Here is a 21329-nt window from a genome sequence, read left to right on the forward strand (position 1 = left end):
TGTCAAAATAACCCAGTAGAAAAAGGATAAGCAGCTTTAAGAGTTTCAGGAGAGTTAGAAGATGAGGTCATTTAAAAAAATTCTTTCTAATAAAAATAACTCCCTGAGTTATTTCTAAGTTTGTACTCAAGACAGACTCCCTGCAAGACTAGAATCTTCTAAGAAACTATTCCTGTAAAAGATTAAAATGAGAGAGACACAGTGTAAGTCTTACTCAGAGTTTGAAAACCACCTTTTAGTATTTAAAAAGGCATTAACCATGATCATTAATCAATAGAAAGGAATGTTCACAGAATGCTTAGAAGAAATGTTTGCTAAGGCAAGAAGTCAGAGAAAACGAAGGCATCCATGCCCAAGGCTGAAGACAAACGTTTTTCTTTTGCTTCAACAAATTAAAGCTGCTAGGAAAGAACAATTGACCAGAGAGGAACATTACTGTACAGCATATAAAATACTGCCAAGGTCAGCAAAACCTCAGCTTTTTATTTATTTTTTTATTTTTCTGTGCCAGTGATTGTTGAGAAATGAGTTTCTTGCAAGCCTGACTTAGACATTATGCTCCGAAGTTACTCAACACGAAGGATTTGGAAAGTACTTTTATTTCCTTTACTATTTGATGACGAGAATGAGTTACAGACATTTTCAGTAAATCTCTGTGCTTAAAATTGTTTATAAGGCCATTTCATAATGTCAGTGTGCTTTAATTTGTTCACTCATGCTGGATTCTCTGCTTCCCCCTTTGCTTTGGGCTTCTGAGAATTATTTCCAAGCAAATAACTATACCTCCAAGATTCCCAAAGCCACTCAGAAAAAAAGAAGCCACAAGGATGCATTTTTTTATATGAAGTGACTTAGCTGTGTAAAAAGAAGCACTGTTTTAAAATCCCACAGAGTATCTTTGGACACTTATGTAAAACTTATATGTAAGTATTTTAGCTGAAGACTGAGAATCAACTGGATTTATGGGGAGATAGTCCTCTCTTTTAAGCTGTTCCATGCTTACTGTACATCTCCCAGATCAGTGGGGTAACTTGTATTATGTTGTGCTGTGTTATTTATCCTTCCACGAATTGCTGCAAAAGCTGTGTTCTGGGTCATCCCCACAACTGCTGTGAACAAGGGCATGCCTTGCGAGGTGGCATGGGTTAAGGACCAAGGCTTAGGACCCCACAGGGCAGAGAGGCAAACTAGGCTTATATTAGTATTAAACCTGTGACTTGAGACTGCATCATATTGCTTCATTCTTAAAGACTTGAAGGATTTCCATCTTTTCTACAAGTTAATCTTAGGCAGTATCATAGCTCTTTTTTGTATATGATCAAATCACTTAATCTAATTATGCCCCATTTTTTTCTTGTGATTTGAAAGCATCATGAAAACTTTTATATATGCAGGTTTATCTGTTACTACTATGAAGAATCAAAAAATTCCAAAGCCTTCTAGTTCAGAAAACGTTAGGCCAGATTCTGTAATCACCTATGTTAAAGAACAAAGCTAAACAGCTAAATCAGGAAGTAGATAATAAAAGACAGATCACATTTAGACAAAGACATGGTTACTTTTTTATTTGAAGAAAAAAAAAGTATGTTTTAATAAATACTGCGGAAACATTGACCAAACAAACATACACAGTGACTTCAACAGTTTAAAAAATGCAACAAAAGTTCTGCTTTATAACAGTTATAACTTATTTTCTTTTTACAATATTTAAATACAGAAAGCACTCGCCAGCTATTTTGTAATACTGCCCAAAGCATAATGCTGCATCAATCAAAGCATATTATGTTGGTAAAATGTCTGTATTTTATGGGAAATGACTGGAATCGAATTTTCTTGCAGAGACAAGACAAAGTGCTTGTAAGACATAGAACTGAGTGTTGTAATTACCTTAATCTCTCCTGCCACGATTTAAGGGGAGCACAGCTTCAACACTTCAAAAACGAAGCACTATCATGGGAAAGAAAGCTCGTTTTCAACAAGCGCCAACAATAAACAGGTCAGATCTGGTTTCTTCTCTGAAAGAATCTCTAAAAGGAACTGGTCAAAAATATCTGTAAACTATTTTAAATGCTTATTATTTTACGTAACAACAGAGACCAAGTGCTGAACACAGACCTTGGCTGCATCTGTTCAGTGAGGTTTTAGCAATGACACTCTAGAAATGCCCTAGTGTTATGTCAGGACTGAAAGTTTATCATATAATCTTCCACTAGGGATTCTCTAAAGCTTGGGTAAGTGGCATCTTCTCTCATCAATGTTCATTTAATGAAAAGTGAAATAAACCAACAGATTATCAGATGCTGTCAGTTTTGGAGCTTCAACCCAAAATAATAGTCCTTTTGCTTTGTATTTTTGGTAACTTAATTCCAGACAGCTTTACTCACAAACTGTGCTTTCTGCTACTATTCTTTCCTTCACTCATTACCTTTTCTGGTGAAAACAGTAACTACCTTTTTTCTCTCCTTGGATCATTCTATGACATCAAACCAAGACACCTTTTATTTGACTTTGCATTTTTATCAACGATGGCAAAAAATCACACAACTTCTAAACAGCGCACAAAAATATTACATTGAGCAATTTACCACTTTTTAATGACAATCACAATGAAGAACAGAACCATCAGACTGAATAAAAATCGACATTTTTTTTCCTATTTGATCTATGCGATCTTTGTAGTGCTGGTCTACAAATCTTGCAAGATTGCAAAGGCTTTCCTTAGAACCATCCTACTCAGCTATCTTCAGGAAGGCAAGATTTCAAAGCCTCATAAAGTTTGCCTCTGGATATATCCCATGGGTCCTGATACAATTTCCTTTTTAATGATGAGCTAGAAAGAAATTAGATCACATCCTCTAGAAAACTAAATGCTAAGGTCACAGTGCCAGTTCCCCCTTGAGGACGGTATATTAACGTATACTTTTTGTAAAGGAGATTAAAACATTTAAAAATTAAATCAAAGTGGAGATCCATGAATAGATTATAACAAAAAAAAAAAACCCAAAAATGCAAGCACCATTCAGAGTGTGATTTTTCTTCTTGGAGGTACTCGCATCCCCCCTCATCTTCCTCTAGCTCATTTGTATCTCTCATTTTTTGGCATATTTTTCAAGTCACACTTAAAAACTCTTCCATGTATTCACTTCTCATCACTTGGTCTACATGCCGAACCTAAGGTCAGGATTCCAAAAAGATGAGTATCCTCTCAAACGCCTCCTAAGCCTCTGGTATACATGACTTTGGCTGTGCACTTCATTTAGACTTCACCTTTTTGTTTGCTGTTGTTTTTTACACTAGATTCCTTTGTCTTCATTAAAGATAATGAAAGATTCACATCACAGTGCAGCTCTTCGCTTTGTCCTTTCGTAAGTCCGTAGCAACTGCCGAGAGTTCTGGTCTGCTAGGCATGTGTGAAATCCGCTTTGTGGCTCTCTGTGATTTGTTCCGCTTAACGTTTTTATTTGTCTTATTTACACATGCCAAGGTGGCAACGTGAAAAATGTCTCTGACGCTATTTTCCGACTGTAAAGCTGAGCATTCGATATAAGTAGCTGCTCCAATCTGTTTGGCCATATTTGCCCCCTGAGAAGCAAAAGAAGGGATTTTAACCAGCAATAAGACTTTGGGGGAAAGTTAGCTAGCATCTTCTAATACCACAAAATAATAACACATTGCAAAACGTTTGCTGATATGTTAACTGAATTTTCCAAGTGTCATTGCAAAAAAAAAAAGTTGTTAAAATGTAAACTGCCTTATTTATTACTTCATAACTATTTGCAGTCCAGAGCCCATCCCTAAGATGCCCAACTCTCATGGCTCATTAGAGGTGTTAGAGCTCTGAATAAATGCTAAAGGCTGATCTTAACAAAGGAAGACCCTGGTTATCAAACACTTAACATGAGGTGATTCAAAGAAGTGTAGAGTGGAGCTAACGAAGTGATTCATCTTCACTATCAACTGCAAGCAAGAGTTAACTGGTTATTCAGGTTTTCCAGGGTCACAGCAAGCATGGAATGGCGCAGAGAAGCTTACTAGTGAAGTAAGTTAGCTGAAGGTCATGAACATAAACTCTGCATTTTCCACACAGCTCTGGCCGTGGCGATGTGGCCTTGAGAACCTGTTCCAGCGCCTCATGGTGCACTTCATTTCTCTTTTCTTGAGGGTAAATGGCATTCAAGACTAGTGACTAGGTTGTACCAAAAACAGGGGCAATGAATGAAATTTAAAATCGATTTTGAAATGTATGTGATTGTGTCTTACTTAGGGCCGAAATGCGTTGAGGAAAGGAATAATACTATTGTAACATCTGTTACTTTATGAAACACAACATATGTAATTTCTAAGTGTGAACCATACCACCAACGTACACAACAATAAGCATGTGCACATTAACCAAAACTACTTATTTAAAATACCAAATTTTTTGCTAATGAGAAATGGAAGACTAAGAAGACTGCGGTATTTAAAATGATGATTCTTAATAAAATTTTGGTATTTCAACATGAACTCTCTTTAGAATCTGGTTGTAGGTTTTATGAGAATGAGCTTTTGAAACTGATTCTCATTTCTAAATACTTGGGGGAAATGCTTACAGAAATGAAGACTCTCTGAAAGATGGTGTTATGGAGTGTTCCACTTTACTGGCAACAGCCTTATTATTGTACTGCCGACTGTAAAATCAGATTACCCCTCTTAAAGAGTATTACTGATTTTGACCACATTCTCTCTTAAACCTATTTAACTTTAAACCTACTGGGAGGTGCAGAAATATACAAGGTTAGCATATCAACTGTTTATGTACCCGAATATCATGTAATTACACTAATAAATGACAGCATTTTAAATTTCACAACTGACCACTGGGTGAGCCTTTAGAAAAGCAGCTACTTTTTATTTTATTTATTATGAGTGATAGTCCATTTCTTTCACTCTTTCTAAAATCCAGTTTTGCACATGGGCAACATACATACCTGGTCATAGGACACTGGCGTCTGCCTGTGATTGGAGAGCTCTACTAATGTACTAACATCTGTCCGCAGATCAGACTTGCAGCCGACCAAGAGCATTTTGGTATTTGGACAAAATTCCTGGATTTCACCTTTCCACTATGAAAGAAAAAAAAAAAAGATTAAAAATGAACAAAGTAACGGTATCCATATCATGAAAACCATTTCTCCACTGGCTGACATTAGAATGAAACTCAGAAAAGATGTTAAAAATGGAGTGTCCCTTGAGATGAAGAAGCAAACTTTGCATTTATCTCCTGAACAGATGTGAAGTTTTACTACTTTTTAAGCATTAGAGAATAATTATGTATATTATGATTGATTCTCCCTCTCTGTGACTCATCTGTTGCTACTGAAAGAGACTTGGTAGATGTTGTCCAAAGGTAGCTTCAATAATGTCTTAATTATTGGTGTGTCTCTTAAAGATAAATGTGTCTTAAGAATAATTATATATCCTAACAAGTGACCACATCCTTCGATGTGTGGATCTGATCCTCCTTCACTAGAAGGCTGGGGATAAGGCAGAGGCAACACTAGCACAAGTATGCATTCCCTGATCCCATCATGAAACACTGAAGCATGCCACCACGAGCTGAGGCTCTATTTTAAGTACCTGAGATAGTTAATAAAACAGAACATCCTGCCTTGAAGGAGTTTCTGTTCACATGGTTGCATCAACACAGACCATGACATTTGCAAAGGAACATCTCTTGGGTCATCGGGAAGGCAGCTGGTCCTGTAGCTCATATGCCTTCAAGTTAGTTTAAAACTATTTCAATCTATTCCAATTTGTCTAGTTGTTTCATGATCTAACAAGAATTATTAGAACCTTCAGCAATGCCTGGCTTGGAATTCCAACTGTCCTCTTTAAGAACAAGCAAGCAGCTTTTTGTGGCTTCATTTCCTCAAGCTTGAGCTCTGCAACAGCATGGGAGTCAAGAGTTCAGGGCGGTCACAGGAGATCTTTGGCCTTTGAGGGCAGGGCCTAGAGAGGCTGAGATGGGGAAGTGGCGCCTGACTCTTCCCACCCACATTCACAAATATGTAAGTGTTCTACTAAGTACTGTGGCAGTGACAATGATGACTAAGACATAGCTGTGTCTTCTGGAAGGAAATTCACAGAATACTGGGGGTGATGAAGTCATGTATTAAGTATAACACTAGATAAGAGGGACATCCTGCAAGAATAACTTAAAAGATCACTAGAGGAGACATCTCCAAATCTAGGGGTGTACTTTGGGTAACGAACTCTAGTGCAAACTACACCAGAGGATTCAAAGGAGTAATATACTTTCCATAAGAGCCCATTTTGTCCACTTATTCCTCCCTTCCTCCCTCCCTCCCTCCCTTCCTTCCTTCCTTCTTTCCTTCTTTCCTCCCTCCCTTCCTCTCTCCCTCTCTCCCTCACTCCTTTCAGAATTATGTAGGAACACCTACCACATGCTAGGTGGCACTGGCATTAGAAGTGGAAGGTGAACTGGAAAAAAAAAAAAAAGAAATCCTCCCTACTTCAAGTCATTCTAACCTCCTCTTTGATAGTGAAGGACTTAAAGGGTTCCATTAATCAAGACAAACCGCAGGGGTTATCATGAGCCTTAAACCTCACAGGAATGTAAAACATACTCATTAATATCTATAAGCCCAAAGTCACTATTCATTTGGTCTTAGAAGACAAAAGCAAAATAAAACAGGAGAAAGGCTTTTCATCATAAATTATGCATAGCCTGATACTACATCAAGTAAAATCTCTAGTAAATAAGCAACCCCTTTTATCTCCAGACAGAACTAGACATGTTGTTATGTTGCTCTTCAGCTGTGTAATGACTTTGGCCTCCCTCTGCATGTCTAGCAATTGTTTACAAGCATTAAAGACAGGAAAGGTGTATTCCTGCCTGGATTTGACAAGCATTAGCATTATTTGTGTTAGATATGTATTACTCAAAATTGAAAGGAGCTAAAAAGGAAAAAAGAGTCTTTGATCTATTAAGAAAGAGATCTACTAAGAGTTTTATTGAACTCTGTTTGTAATATTTAGTAGAGACAGAAGGATTATTATACTTCAAATCCTGATTTCACAATGACACACAAGCCAAGCAATCAAATATAATAGGGGAATGTAAACTAATAAAAACACACAAAATACAAATAAATTCCACTAAAAATTAAAATGAAAAAAACAAAACCAACCTAGCCACACCTGCATGTTTGTCTTTCTCAATCCATACCATACTCAGACTGGGCTGCATGGGTCACCCCTCAGTTGACACTGCCTTGCTCTCAGCCACATCCGGTGTTGAAGCCAGTGTGTGGAGGAGAGGGAGTGCTCCAACAAGGATCTGATTCTGAAACCCCACAGCACACAGGCCAGGGCTGAGAAAATAGCTAGTGGCTAATAAATGCTGATCCATGGACTAACACGGCATGTGCCTTCTACAACTACCTGGAGGCTGAGTCTCAACTGCTGAAGGTCAAGAAACGCCCCTTCCTCCCACTGGCCTCCCTAGTTCCTGTGACCCATCCTGTAATAGGTCCTCTTCCTCTTGATCTCCCCCTGGTTCCTTCCAACCATAGCTTCCTTAGTTAGGTTCCTACGGAACCTGACTTACCTTTGCCTCCATAAACTATGTGTACATTATAATATATAACATGTTTACAAGCACTGCTTCCATATTACTAGAAAGATACCTGGTCATAATTACTAGACAGATACCTGATCATCAGACAATTCACATTGGACACATCCCTATTCCTCCTACACTAGTTCCATTTCTGTTTCTAATAACACCATAACTAAAACACAGCTTCTTTGTTAAAATAGCCATTATTGCATTCCTTTCACTATCTGACTTGAGGTCAAATGTAAATCTGTAAACTAAGATGCAATCTGTTGAGTCACTGAAAGAAGGAAGGAACACATGAATATGATAGTAATCAAATATAACTGTTGTTAGCTGTACCATTTTTCTCCCAAAGGACAAACATGAAGGCCCTTAAAAGGTATTTTGTTTCAGAGCTTCATGAAATAAAATTTCAAGCAAGTTCATCATCAAAAAGTGGAAACCCCATTTTGGTGTGAAAGGGTTCTTTCTAGTGTTTAATTACAAATTGTAAGGCAGGGAATTGATTAGAGTCTTTGAGCTTCCCAACAAACCCCACGTTTCTATTTATACATCACCCAGTACTGAAGTGTGTCATCATTTCCCAGCACTTGCCTTTTTGAGGACACTGTCCAGGGTCTCTGGTCTACTGATGTCAAAGCAAATCAGCACAGCATCCGAATCAGGGTAAGAGAGGGGGCGGACATTGTCATAGTAAGGAGAACCTGAGAAGAAACAAAGACACACAAATTTTCAGATGAGAGTCCCCTTGTCTGTCATGCATTAACTCTACCCTTTCCGGCTAAGTCCTTTGACTGTCACATCACGACCCAACTCCCACTTCCCCTAATTCTTGGAAAAGAATTCAAACAGACACACAAAAGCCTGCTTAGAAATATATGATGAATGAAGCCTCACATGTGTCTGACATAAATTCAAGAAGAGGGCCAGGATCTTAAGTGAAATCTGTATGGTTCAAAGACTAGGGCCTGAAGTTACCTGGGTGAAGTAGGGAAGCACCTGGGGCCAGGTGGTCTTGTGTGTAAACCTGCCTCCACCACTAAAAAGGGAGGGGGCAAGGTAGCTTTAGGACCCTGTGCCTCTGATTCTTCACTCATAAAATGAAGATGCTGACAACATACATACCTGAGATTAAGTAAACCCAGGCAGGGCCTGGCTTTTAGTAAGGGATCAATACGTATTAACTATGGGCATTATGGTTGTATTACTGCTGTTAAAAGCTGAGTGGTAGCAAGAACCATAAACTGAACTACTTCTTGGGAAAGAGACCAAAACTCAAGATCAATTCTGACAGCAGGATAGGGGTGAATGAGGGAGAGAGGAAGAGGAAGGGTTCAACTATGCAAAGAGAAACCACATCAGTGTTACCCATCTCCAAGATGTAAGTTTACATAGGCCATTGACCTTTGAGCTTGCTTATTTTAACTTATCGCCAAACCCTATATAGATTTTCTTCCTGTTACAATCAAGAATGTAATAAATGTCGTATAGGATCATGTCGCTTTTTTACAGAGTCCCATCTCTGAGAGTGACACTGAGGCATGATCTAAGGATCTTAACCTGAATTAAGTCCAGGGTACCCTAAAGGTTCAAGGCACCAGCCAATTAATTTAACCACAGAACTCTCTAGTCAATCAAGGAAGTTTCTTCTATTTCTTTAAGAATTCCAAAGGATGGGCAATTACATGAGGCCTATAGTTATGAAATGATTGACTAGAAAACTAAATACAGCCTGCCAAATGCCGCTTGTTTAAGAAATCATTTTCCGTATGCTGACATTTCACAAGCATCACATGAAAATGATTTTACTAGGCAAATATATACACACGTATGTATCTGACTCCAGAGTAGAAAAAGAAAATCTAAACCACCAAACTCTTTTTAAAAGTCTATTTCATTTTGACATCACTTTCCATTTTGAGCAGAAAAACAGGACATGTTGTCCCTTGATAAATCAAAACCTCAATAGGCAAAGTCAGGAAGAGAGACTTAAAAAGCAGCTTTAGAAAAAATGTCACTGTTTATATTTCTATCAAAACAACATTTGCTTGGAGGCTGTTCTTGTGATCTAAAAGGCACTATAGTCAGGGGGCATCGCCCTCTATTCACACAGTACACTCTGGGTCCCTGGCATCTGCTATGGAACCCCAGGCAACAGTGCAGCTTTTTCTCTAGCTCCTTTACGATGGAGAGTGACAACTTCAAGCCACGTGTGTCTGCTAAGCAAGGAAGAAAAGAATGTTACAAGAATCAGGAAGAAAAGTGTGAATAAATAGAGAATTAAGTCAGAGCTGTTCATGAGCTGCAGCAGCTGCCTACCCACATCTGGAACCAGGACCCTGGTAGAGCAGAGGCTGACAGCTGAAAGATATTTCCCAGAAGCTTAAAGCGTTTAGAGTTTAAAAAGTCAAGTCATTTTAAGTATGAAGGTATATTAGAATGAGGCCGTCTCTGAAAATGACAAGCTGTGGCTGCCTTTTCAGTCGCTGAAAGTACTCTGAGGTGAAGAGAATAATTCACAAATAGTTCACCCATTTGAACATTCGAAAGGCATCAGAAACGAGATGGTTGAACACTATTTATGGCTACATTAGTATTTCCATATTAGTTCTAAGAAGTTCACACTTTCTCAACTAGAACCTTTCCTGTTTCTGTGTCCAAAGTCTAACTCTAGCACGGCACCTGCTGTAAACATTTGAATGACTCTTTCCAAACAGGCAGTCAGAAAATTCTAGATCATAGAGTGGAGCTCCAAATACTGGACATATAAATGAGAGTTTCCTCTACTCCTCAAAGTCCGCGAGAGACAACCTGATCCCAGACCCAGGAAGGCAAAGCTGCCAACAGTTAGGATTGTCAGAAACCTAACGAGGCTTCAGAGATCTCCTTTCCCAGAAATCACTCACATTAGGAAAAACCACTCTCTCCCTGTGGAGAGCTTCCAGTACAAGCAGACCTGGTATCTTTAGAGAACTGTTCCAGGTGCCTACCAGCTCCTTTCAGGATACGATTTGTATGATGTTAGAGTACTCACTGCTAATTCCAGATGTAATACTGCTCTATGACAATGGAGACCATCTTTTCCAAATAAAAAAATTAGGAAAAGCGATTGAAGAAATACAAAGAGGATAAAAGAGTTTAATTAAAATTGAGACTGCCAGGAAAATCCTGAGGAATGGTTTCAACATTCAGGCCACCACATGACTGCTGGGAATACCCCTCCCCCCTTTGTGGACTATGTTTCCCGTCCCCCACCCATTTTATGGCCACAAAGGAGATCTGGCTTTGTGCTCAGCCCTGAGTCACCTGCTGGAGACTGCTACCTACTAAAATCAAGTGGGCTGGCTTCTGTGCTTAGTGCATATATCTAAATATCTGCAAAATTTAGACTCTGGCCTGATTTTAAAATGAAACGGAGTTCTCCAGTTAAACCAGATTTTCAGGGAAGTTTGTATCTGCTTTTGTTTTTATCCGGTTAACAGTATAAGTGAAAATACATATGTAGTGCAAAGGTTTATGAGAAATAAACCACCGTGCTTGTGGAGGTAGACAGGTAATTTTTAAGAGGTTTAACATGATCTAATTAGGGATGACACTTTGATCCCATTCTATTACTTTTGCTAATGAACAGTGCTGCTTTTAGATCAACACGAGTGTCCAAAGGTAATAGTAAAACTGATTCCCATATTTCTTAGTTATAAGCATAATTTGACTGCCAATGACAAGAGTAATTTATTTAAAATAACAAGACCATTTATTCACTATATTTTTGATAGGTTAAGTTTATCTTGTCTTAGATAGAAATATCTATTGTCTCTATTTATTCACAGTGAAAAATATTGATATAGAATTATCAAGAACTGTCCCACCAGGAAAGATGTAAGTCATCAGCTCAGCAGGACTTTCAGGATAAAAAAAAAAACAAAGCAAAACAAAAAACAAAAACACTCACACACAAAAACACCTCCTGTGTAACTTTACAGTGTTTACTCTGTGTTTAAGCACTTGGAATCCTTCCTTTTCTTCCCCATAAAGCCCAAGAGACTGCACAAAGGAAGTAAGGCAAGCAAAGCTGGAGAGGGCACGGTGGAATCACAGGTATGCGTGAGACAACGCATGCCAAAAAAAAAGGAAGAGGAATTCCAGAAATGACTCTGTGAAGTGAGAAGCAATAAAGAGGGGCAGAAATGACACCAAAGGAAGGAGCTGAAAGTAAGTGGGTAAAGCAGGAACAATACCTGCCCCTAACTCCTATATCCCTCCAGAAAAGTCTTACAACACCCTGTGAAGCCAAACGGCAAAAAAAAAAAAAAAAAATTAACTTCTATAGGTGTTTTTAAAAGATGCACATGAAAAACTCCCAAGGTGCTAACTGTAGAACTAAACACAGCACAAGCAGGAGGGCTCAACAATTTTTACTAAGTATGAAAGTATTCAACTTTAACTGCAGTACATGGTAGGTATTGATATACACAGAGTATGTGCTCTAGTACCTAAGAATGCACTAAAGTCCAATAACATTTAGGGACTGCGTTTGGCTTGTCAAATGAAACTCTTTTTCAGCATGTGGAATAGGCTTCATGCATATGGAAATTCTCAGATGCAGCATTTCTCTGGTACTATATGAAACTTTTAAGCTCGCAACCCTATTCCAAGGTCCTTTTTAAGTAACCTGCCACACCTCTGAAGGAAAAACTTAGGGAAACTCTATATTGTAAAGAAACAACTACACTATATATGCAAAATGTGTACCCCGCTCACCCAGAAAATATAGTTGAAAGGCTTTGCTGGGGGTAGATTGGAACAAGTGTACACTTGGGGTTCTCTGAGTTGCTCAAGTTTGGCAAACATCAGCAAAGTTCTAGAGAGCTTTTGAAATTTCAGATCTACCCATCTTTGTATTCAAGATCATTAATTCTGGGTGAGAGCAAAATTTCCAGCCAAAGAATAGTCACAACGTGCCTCACCCAGAAACTAATTCTTCAGACACATACCTGCCTGCTGAAGTCACCCTTTCGCAAATATAGAACACACCATATATGTACATAATTAAATGTATATGTAAGAAGATTCATGCCCAAAAGGAAGGCTTTATGGAACCTTTTGCAAAGTACCAGTTTAAACACTGTGAGGCTTTAGAGGAGTTGGAGAACTGAAAACTCTTCTTGTTGAATATTTCATAAATATAATTTATTTAACTTGAACCTTCATCTGAAAAGCTTCCCTTTCCCCCTTAAGAAATTTTTACCAAGAAGAGTAAGCTAAAGCTATTGCATATTTTTGGCAGAGAAAAGTAGATTAACTTTTGGTATATTTAGTGACCACCATGAGCACATCTGAACGCAGCAGCAGCTAACATGTGAGAGGGCATGATCTGCCCAATTATTACAAGATTGCATTTCCTCATGCCATCTCTAATCAGAGGAAAAGGTTTAAATTAGCAGCAATCTCAAGAATGTGAATCAAGTCTGGGCAGAACTTTTGTATCTGACTCAGTGTAAGACTGTTTAGTTCTTGTTTCAAGTAGTCTGCACAACAAATACCATGCCTGCAAATATGCAACAAACACTCCCAGGAAGAATATGTTTGTTTCTTCCATGGATTCAGGTAATAGGAACTATGAACAGATCTTATAAAATTTTGTGGGCATTTATGTGTTGCTATTAAAATGGAATAAAGATTTTCTATTTCTGGGGGCAATGTAGATACAAAATTAGAAAGTCAGACAGGTAGATATGTTTGGCCTTTAAATAAAGTTTAGCTTTAAACTCCTAATCTTATTGAGGTACTTAAAAATATGTAAGAATCAAAATATTTTACTGACAGTGGAACCATGGTTAAGTCAAGAGCTTTAGGGAAAAGAGTATATGTATATGAATATGCCTAAAAGTAAATAGGGATAATGGATTCAAGTTTTTGTTTCATATGATATCTAAGAATCAGATTTCTTGGAGTAGAATCCCATGAGTGAATTCATCTTTCCACAAACTATGTCATCAGGCTCATTTTTCAAAACCAATGTGCACAACACCTGGTCAAACTTCTGCGTCAACTACATTCCGTGTCAATAAAATGTTTGCTTTGCCAAGGGAGACTCTGAGAAAGTGACCAATATGTAGCAACTGAGAAGTCATTTAAAGGACATCAGAAAATGACTGAGCCACGACTAATTCATTTGGCAGAGCCCGCCAGGCACCATGAGCTAACTGGAGAAAGTATTGGTTCTTGGTGTCATATTTACATGCAAAAGAACTGGATTAATGAGGAAACATCTGGTTATTTCGGGTGTTATCAGAATGACCAATTTGGATGCTTCATTGAAATGTGCAACTTAGCAAGAAACCAGATTGGAAAAAAAACAGCACTAAATGCGGCTAAAAAAAAAAAATCTACAGACAGATGTAGACTTAGAAAGAGCATTCATACTGCCCCCTCCCCTTTTTAGGAGGTTCCTTGGTTTAAATGGAAATTACTGCATGGTGGACAAATCTCCAAATGCAGTTTTATGTACTGCTTATTGGAAACCACCATACAAACTATCTGTTTTACCTTAACCCAGGTCTTTTACATAAGAGTTTCAGTGTGAAAACTCGTTAAGAATTAAACCTAGTTTTGAAACCCTAAGCTCCAATGGATCATTACTACCTGATGAAATGCTTGGTTTCCTGCAATTTCACAGTTGATATTCAAATCCCAAGCATCCATGCTTCTCTGGCTCCTTCATAAATTCTTAACCTCTTCCTTTCTCCAAGAACGTTAATTTAAGTTATAATTCTCAGCTTCCAGAATCTTGTTTTATCTGAGAGCCACTAAATGTAAGCGAGTTTCCACGTGGAAGAAACGTTAAAAACTTCTTAGAACTTAGTCAACTTCTAGAAAGGAAGGGAATTGTGGTGGGCCTCAATGACCATTAAGTCATGAGTTAGGGAGCCTGGGCTGCCCTTGTGGCCTTCAAGAACTCTTTGGATCTTGTTGCTCCTTGAAAAATCCAGGTTTAGAACCTCCGGGCTCACCATCCTATAAACAGGTATTACAGCACTAGACAGGAGGAAGTCTTTCTATGTCCTCTGTTTGTCCTGTGGGTATTCAAAGAAGGTTGTCAGGGAAGAAGGATGTCTTTACCCTGTTCAAATCTCAGTCTACTGGCATCTCCTCTCACCTAAACACCTGACACTTAATCCGGGCTTCTCATTTGATTTCTTTTGTTAGTTTGGGAAAGCCTGAATATTTTAAATTTTATTGTCACTCATGTTTTCACCATGTCTGTCTTATCACATGGTGAAACTGTGAGTACCTAAGGGCAGAAGCTGCTCTCACCCAGCTCTGTACTCCTCCCATAGCATCTAGCAGATTGTATGCACACAGAAAGCACTAAACCATGTTTACTGGTTTTATAATCATTTTTATGTCTTGTCTAGATGTGTTCATTTATATGCTAAATCACCAAAAAAAAAGGGGAGGGGGAGAGAGAGAGCAGTGATCCCCTTTTAAGCTGCTTTTCTGGATTAATTATATACTAATCTCCAATACTGCTGAACCATTTCCATCCCTGTTAAGAAATATTTCATTAGAGAGCTTGTCACCAAGACCATTCTTCATACTTGATGTACAATAATCTAAATATAACAGCTTAGATAGACTTCTGTTTATAGAGAAGTTTGTCCTCATATTAAGGCCATTAGGTAACTAAGATATTTTTCCTCTCTTTTTCTCTAAGAAATAAAGGATACCACCTTAAGTGTTAGTAATGCTAAAAACTAAAATAGGAAGTACTAACTTTAGCACTCAGGGCTTAAAAGAAACTTGGATCATGACAAGATTCGAAAGAGTGTTCATGAGGCAATAGCATAGTTATTGTGGGGAATTTAGCAGCTGAATTGAATATGTTAAAAGTAATAATAAGCCTTAAATAAAATGTGCATTAACTTGCCTTGGTTAAAAAGCTGGAATGAATGATTATTACTCCCTAAATCACATGTGCTGAAATTACACTGCAATCAAATCTCTTAGGAAAAGATACAGTGATCCTTAAATGACTACATTTCTATTATTAGTAGGCATTTGGCTTCATGCTACAAATTACTTCTATGCTTGGCAAATGTGGCCAATTTTGAAGCACAAGATATTAGAATTACTTTGGTCTTACTTATTACTTCACAATTGAAACTATTACCCATTGTTTGGCAGAAACTCATTGGGTGAAATTTGAAAATCAATGGGAGCATTTCTGCAACTATTAAGAATGTTCATTTTATAATGAAAAATATTTTTTAGGAAAATGAAGAAGTTATGGGCCTTAAAAATTCCCTCTTTTAGATGATTCCTACAGCATTTTTACAAAGGTTTTGTTTACTTTTGTTGGGGGGGCTGGAGTACTGTAGCCCTAAGAATTGACTGGCAAAATGCCTTTTGTAGTTGCTTTAACTGGTGTGTGCAATGGGCGGGGGTGGGGGGGGCGGTGCGGGGGTAGCTGTTTCCTATCTGAAGAGGATCCAGAGGATCTATAAGCCCTAGGATGTCTGACAAAGGAAAAACATTGCAACCAAGTGGAAAAGGGCACTGGGGTTCAAGGACCTGACAAAATTAGGTGCATCATGAGTTGTTAATGAAATACACGCTAAACCAGAAGAGCTTCTTTTTCTCCATTACCCCACCTGAACTGTCTGCTTCTTAGGAGCAGGACCATGCTTAATTAACACTGTATCTCTAAGGTCTTGACAGAGGGCCTGTTTATAGTGGATGCGGGAAAAAAGGAAGAGATGGATGGAGAAAGGGAGAAAGGAAGGAAATATTAAGTTACTGTGCCTTAAAAAGCAGGAAATTATTTTTTTTTCTTGGTGCAAAGAGACTTCACATATCCTACTTTCACTTGGTAGTCTTTCTCACATCCAAATTGGCAGAGTTTGCCTATGCATGATCATGACTGCTGGGGGCAAAAGTAGACCCCTTATGAGAAGCTGTCCAACTAAAGAGGCCAGATAAGAGAGGAACTGTTTCTGTCTTCTAAATGGTTGCCCTTCTGCTAGGAGGGTAAACAGGACAGGAAATATCATTCAAAGGACAATGTTCATCCCGTATCTCTCCCTATATAAGAGCAGTCAGGCACACCCAATTTTTCCTATATAAGTCTCTTTCACAAAGTTCTAGGAGGGAAATAAAAAGTGCAATTTATCTGACATTTAGAACTTTACAGACTTGGCTGGGATCTTTTCTCCAGAGTTATATTGATGGCCTTTGGAAAAAATAAATGTATCAAGAGGCATAAGGCATATGCAATTATTTTTACAATCTGAACTAAATAAATGTTTTAGTGGGCAAAGAAAATGTCAAACATTTACCAAAAAATAGTCCTGTCCAGAAATTTGCCATGAAAAGCTTGGAATTAAATGGAAAAATGTTAAAGATCCTTGAAATAATTAGTTGCTGATTCAATGGTTCCTGCTAGATATAAACAACAAATCACTTTTGATGGAAACAGGCTATTCTTAGAATTTAAGTAAGCAGTGCTTGGTGACTGTGTTTAACTAACTAACATTTCACCTCATGAACAACATAATGGAATTCTAAATAATTCCCTTATGCCTCTTTTTTCCATTTGTTTAAATCTAAATTCTAACTAAGATTTCATTACCGGATAATTTTGCAGTACAAAATTTTCTTCATCACATTTTCAAACCTTTATATTTTAGTTAAACATACATAAGTTTTGGTTTCATTAAATAAAAAGACAAGTGATTATTTCACTACAAATTCATTTCAGATGATTATCTTTAATTCGATGAAAGGCAATGTTTATAAAGTTGCCATTCTTTGTGCACAGGTAATTCAGTGTGAATAAATGTCAGGGAACCTCATCTCCTTGGCAACTATGCATATCATTACTCATTTACTCATTCATCAGATTTTATTGGATAACTGCTGTATGCAAGGCATTGTGCTATGTGTGCAGAGTCTACGAACTGCAGAGTTTTGATTAAATGCATGAAGATACCTGAAGTGGTATTTACCTGCACATACGAAGGACAGCCTCCAACTACAAACTGCCCACATTTTGGTTTATGTTCTAGCCTTTATCAAACAATGTGCCTTTTCTCCCCTAAAAGAATCAATTTAGCCCTTTAGGCATCTATTCCGAAATATCCATTGGTGGTCCTGTCACTCTTGAAGCTTGAGATAGGAAATGTATAGCCCAGCATTCCTATAAGCCCACCCATTCCCCCTCCCTGTCCAGATGGGTTTCATTCCTAAATCCACCAGGAAGCCTGGCTCTGCCCAGAACCTGGCTTGCTTTGCAGGCTGTGAAAACCCCAGCACGGGATGCCAGATCCCCTAAGACTAAGAGCTGAAGCCAACCAACATCCTGGGAAACAAAAAGACCTGCCTGTCCAGCGTAATAAAGCCAAGAAGTGTACAGCTGGGAGAGATCCTGCACATCATCTAGCTCAGTGTCCTCTTTTTACAGATGATGAAAATGAGACCCAGGGAGATAGGGGATTTGCACACAGAAATCCATGGTAACCAGGAGCTAAGATCTAAACACAGCTTTGTATCAACGACTGGTTCAGACACACTGCTCCACCCCGTGCCAAAATAATTTTTATCGTGCATTAGGTCCAAACAGGGCTGCCGGTTGGGGCAGGGAGTACTGGTGCTTATTATCGGTACCACACCAGCTGTGCCATCCAGTAGGCATAACAAATACATACCATGATATGTCTGGGAATCAGAGCCCATTAAGTACCAGGCTGTAAAATAATTCTGATAGGAACTACTGAAATAAGGAACCACTTGAATTCTGTCTACCAACACCTTCTCCAGAGTTTCGAGTCTGTGTACCATCCCCAACAGAAAACACGGCGGCAAAGTCCTGATTCTGCTGCCCTTGGAACGGCTGAGAAAGAGCCTGACTCCAGGGGGAAACAAAATCAGCCCTTCTCACTGCAGCAGTCGGAGCATCTGGCACCGACCATGAGAGGCGCTCGCTCGTGCGAGACTTCTCGCTTGCCTTTGTGCTGGGACTGCCTCTGGCGACCCTGTCAGTCTGGTTCCTTCCTCTTGCTCTCTGAACCCCCGCGTCCCTCGGGGGCTCCAGCGGTTCAAGCCCAGCGGTTCTGTGGGAAGCTCACAGAAACACCTCCACGAGGCCACTCCCCGCTGGGCGCGGCTCCACCTCGGGGCCTCCCCGCCTAACAGCAAACCTGCTTGTTGGCACTTGCGCGTTCCTCCTCGCCAGTTTCACCCGGATTTGGCTCGGTCCGCCAGCAACCCAGCTCCTTGCTAAATTCCCAGCCCTAAGCGCAGGGGCCTTTACCCAGCCTTCCCAGTGGGTCCTGCTTTTCCATAGCCGACACCCTTCTTGGAAACAAACTCGCTAGACACCGCTGGTTAGGGCGGCGGGTGCCTATGTCCCAGCCCAAGACCTCAGATGGTGCCCCCCTGCCACTCCCCGGCCTTTGACCTGGCCTAAACCCCTAACTCAGCCGGGGGGCCGGATGCCTTCCCACCGGGAGGGTACCTAGCCCTCCCTACCACCGCGCGCCAGGTAGGTGGGTGGGCGCATGGGAAAGCAATAACCCGGCCTTGAACCTCAGACCCATGAATATAACCCACCGCGGCGCCAATAATTCAAGTAGACTGGAAGGTCAAAGGCGAATAGTGTTGCCCGCGGCCTTGGAGGCAAGCCGAGTGGGGGATGCAATAGAGGTCAGGAGGGGCTGGTGTGGTGAAGGGGAAACGGACGTGATCACTGGGATGGAGTGGGGGAAAAAGGGAAAAGCTCGGTACAGGTGGGCACCGAGGCACCGCGGGCGGCCGGCAGCGCGAAGAGGAGGTTCAGCTGCTGCCCGGCCCCTGCGCCACCAGCGCATTCCTGGGTGTAGGCGTCACGGGCGCCGCGGCTGCCTGCGCTCAGTTTCTTTCCCTCAACAGCGGCAATTGCACGTAACCGCGTCGCCTCTGGGATTTTCTCCCGCCTCCCATCACCCCCGCGGCGCTCCCCGCCTCCCCGCCAACCAGCAGGTTAGATCTAGGAGGGGCGCCCGCCTTGAGCCGGGTGGTTCCGCCGAGGCGCACGCAGCGCCCATGCAACACCCCACAGTATCGGGCCACCTCGGCCGACCCAAGGCGACTTGACCACGACTCCGCGGGCGGACTGCGCCTGGCCACTAGTGGCTCCAACCGCGGGGTCACCCTGCGGGCACACAGCGCTCTCCTCTCCCCACTGCTATCTCCTCGTCCACGCTGTCGTCTGCCGCCCCCACCCAGAAGGGATACAATTTTCGCCCAACAGGGACCGTGGGAATCCCTTGGGAGGGGCGCAGACGGCTTGTAGCGCGCGGTTTCCCGAGACCCGCCGCGCATCCCCCAGCGACTGGAAACCCGCCCCAAGCGCCACGCGGTCCTCCCACTCTTACCCGAAGTGTCCCACAGGCTCAACTCTATTCTTTGTGTGTCGATTTCAAAACTGGCCGTGTAATTCTCAAACACTGTAGGAACGTAATTCTGGATAGACAAAATGGGCAAAAGAGGAAGGAAAGAGGGCAAAGAGGTTACGTTTAAACGCACGACACCCATTGAACACCCTTCCCCTCCCCGCTCCCCAGTTAAGAAAGAAAACCTTCACACATCAGACCACACACTAAGCACATGGACCCTTTCCGAAACCCCTGTCCTACTCCCCACTCACCCCACCCGGCTCTCACAGATCTGCTGACCCGAATCTCCCAACCCCAGGTTATGCACACAGGAACGAACAAGTTTCAGGAGCTAACCAGCCCATGTGCAGGCGCGTCCCAACCCTAAAAGCTTCCAGCGCACTTTCCCTTTCCCCGCAGTCTAATCAGGGGAAAGTAGTAAGGACCGAGAAAGACTTTTTTTTTTCTTTTTTTTTTTTTTTAAGGGAAAACGGATGAAAGCGGGGAGGCCCACCTCGGGACTGGGATCCCACTGGCCGACCCCCTCGTGGAAGCCGCGGCCGGCCACACTCACCTCGGGGAAGCAGTCCTTGGCGAAGACATGGAGCAGCGCAGTTTTTCCACACTGACTGTCTCCCACCACAACTATCTTGCATTTCACGTTCTGATTAGGATCCATGATAGATTTGCTGGATAATTTCTGGCTGGCTCTTCTCTCCTTCATTGATGTTGCCTTATTTTCTCTTGGAACAGGAATTTTCTCTTAAGAAGAAAAAAAAAAATATATATATATATATATATTTCTCTCTTTATAAAAAGCAGATATAAAAATAAATCACAAGGCTGATGGGCAACCTCTGAAACGCGGCGCAGACGAGGAGGAGAGCGAGAGGAGCAGGCTGGTTACTCCCCTCCAACAAGTTTTAAGCCTGACTCCTCACCGCGCCTCCCAAGTCCAATTCCGAGCCGACTGCTTTGTTTCACGCTCTCTGCGCGGCTTTATACGCCCGGCCTTCCAATCCTCTTCTTTCTCAATGAGAGGAGGAAACTGATCTGCCTCCTCCCCTTTTATGGAGCCTGGGAGCGAGCGCTGTTGGCGTTGCATGCCGAAAATGTAAGCAGTGCGCCCTCTAGGGTGCCCATTCGGGATCTATTTTAGACCAAGGCTCTTAGACAACATGAAGATCCCAAAGATGCTTTGCTGACAAGTCCACAGGGCAAGGTGGGAAACTGGTATCTGTGCATACTGATTTGAACTACAATCCCTTTAAATATAGTTTAATAGGGGCTTA

General features: G+C 40.9%; 1 protein-coding gene across 2 annotated transcripts, besides 1 other annotated feature; it reads right to left on the bottom strand.

The window, feature by feature from the left end:
* Nucleotides 1–1536: 1536 nt before the first annotated feature.
* Nucleotides 1537–21039, bottom strand: RND3 (Rho family GTPase 3). 2 transcript variants are annotated; one of them, NM_005168.5, is made up of 6 exons: nt 20893–21011; nt 20612–20799; nt 20038–20125; nt 8219–8328; nt 4971–5105; nt 1539–3582 (listed from the first exon to the last, which is right to left on the bottom strand). In NM_005168.5, exons 2-6 carry the CDS (start codon nt 20759–20761, stop codon nt 3331–3333), a joined length of 735 nt encoding a protein of 244 aa, NP_005159.1. In that variant the 5' UTR covers nt 20762–20799; nt 20893–21011; the 3' UTR covers nt 1539–3330. The 2 variants fall into 2 exon arrangements, with proteins under 2 accessions (NP_001241667.1, NP_005159.1); NM_001254738.1 differs by having other exon boundaries at nt 1537–3582; nt 20612–21039.
* Nucleotides 11559–11853: a silencer, noted in NCBI's record as "tiled region #9612; K562 Repressive non-DNase unmatched - State 24:Quies". NCBI's record gives its function as "represses a minimal TATA promoter and a strong SV40 promoter by Sharpr-MPRA in K562 cells {active_cell/tissue: K562}" and the evidence as "EXISTENCE:reporter gene assay evidence [ECO:0000049][PMID:27701403]".
* Nucleotides 21040–21329: the final 290 nt, after the last annotated feature.

Source organism: Homo sapiens, chromosome 2 (genome assembly GCF_000001405.40).
Source record: "Homo sapiens chromosome 2, GRCh38.p14 Primary Assembly".
Classification (NCBI taxonomy): Eukaryota; Metazoa; Chordata; class Mammalia; order Primates; family Hominidae; genus Homo; species Homo sapiens.

Coding starts and splice junctions, on each gene's coding strand:
- RND3 (NM_001254738.1), bottom strand. CDS start 20,761: ATGAAGGAGAGAAGAGCCAGCCAGAAATTATCCAGCAAATCTATCATG. Junction 20,126..20,611: donor CCAAGGACTGCTTCCCCGAG/GTGAGTGTGGCC, acceptor TTGTCTATCCAG/AATTACGTTCCTACAGTGTT. Junction 8,329..20,037: donor GAGCCTGTGGGACACTTCGG/GTAAGAGTGGGA, acceptor GTTTCTTCTCAG/GTTCTCCTTACTATGACAAT.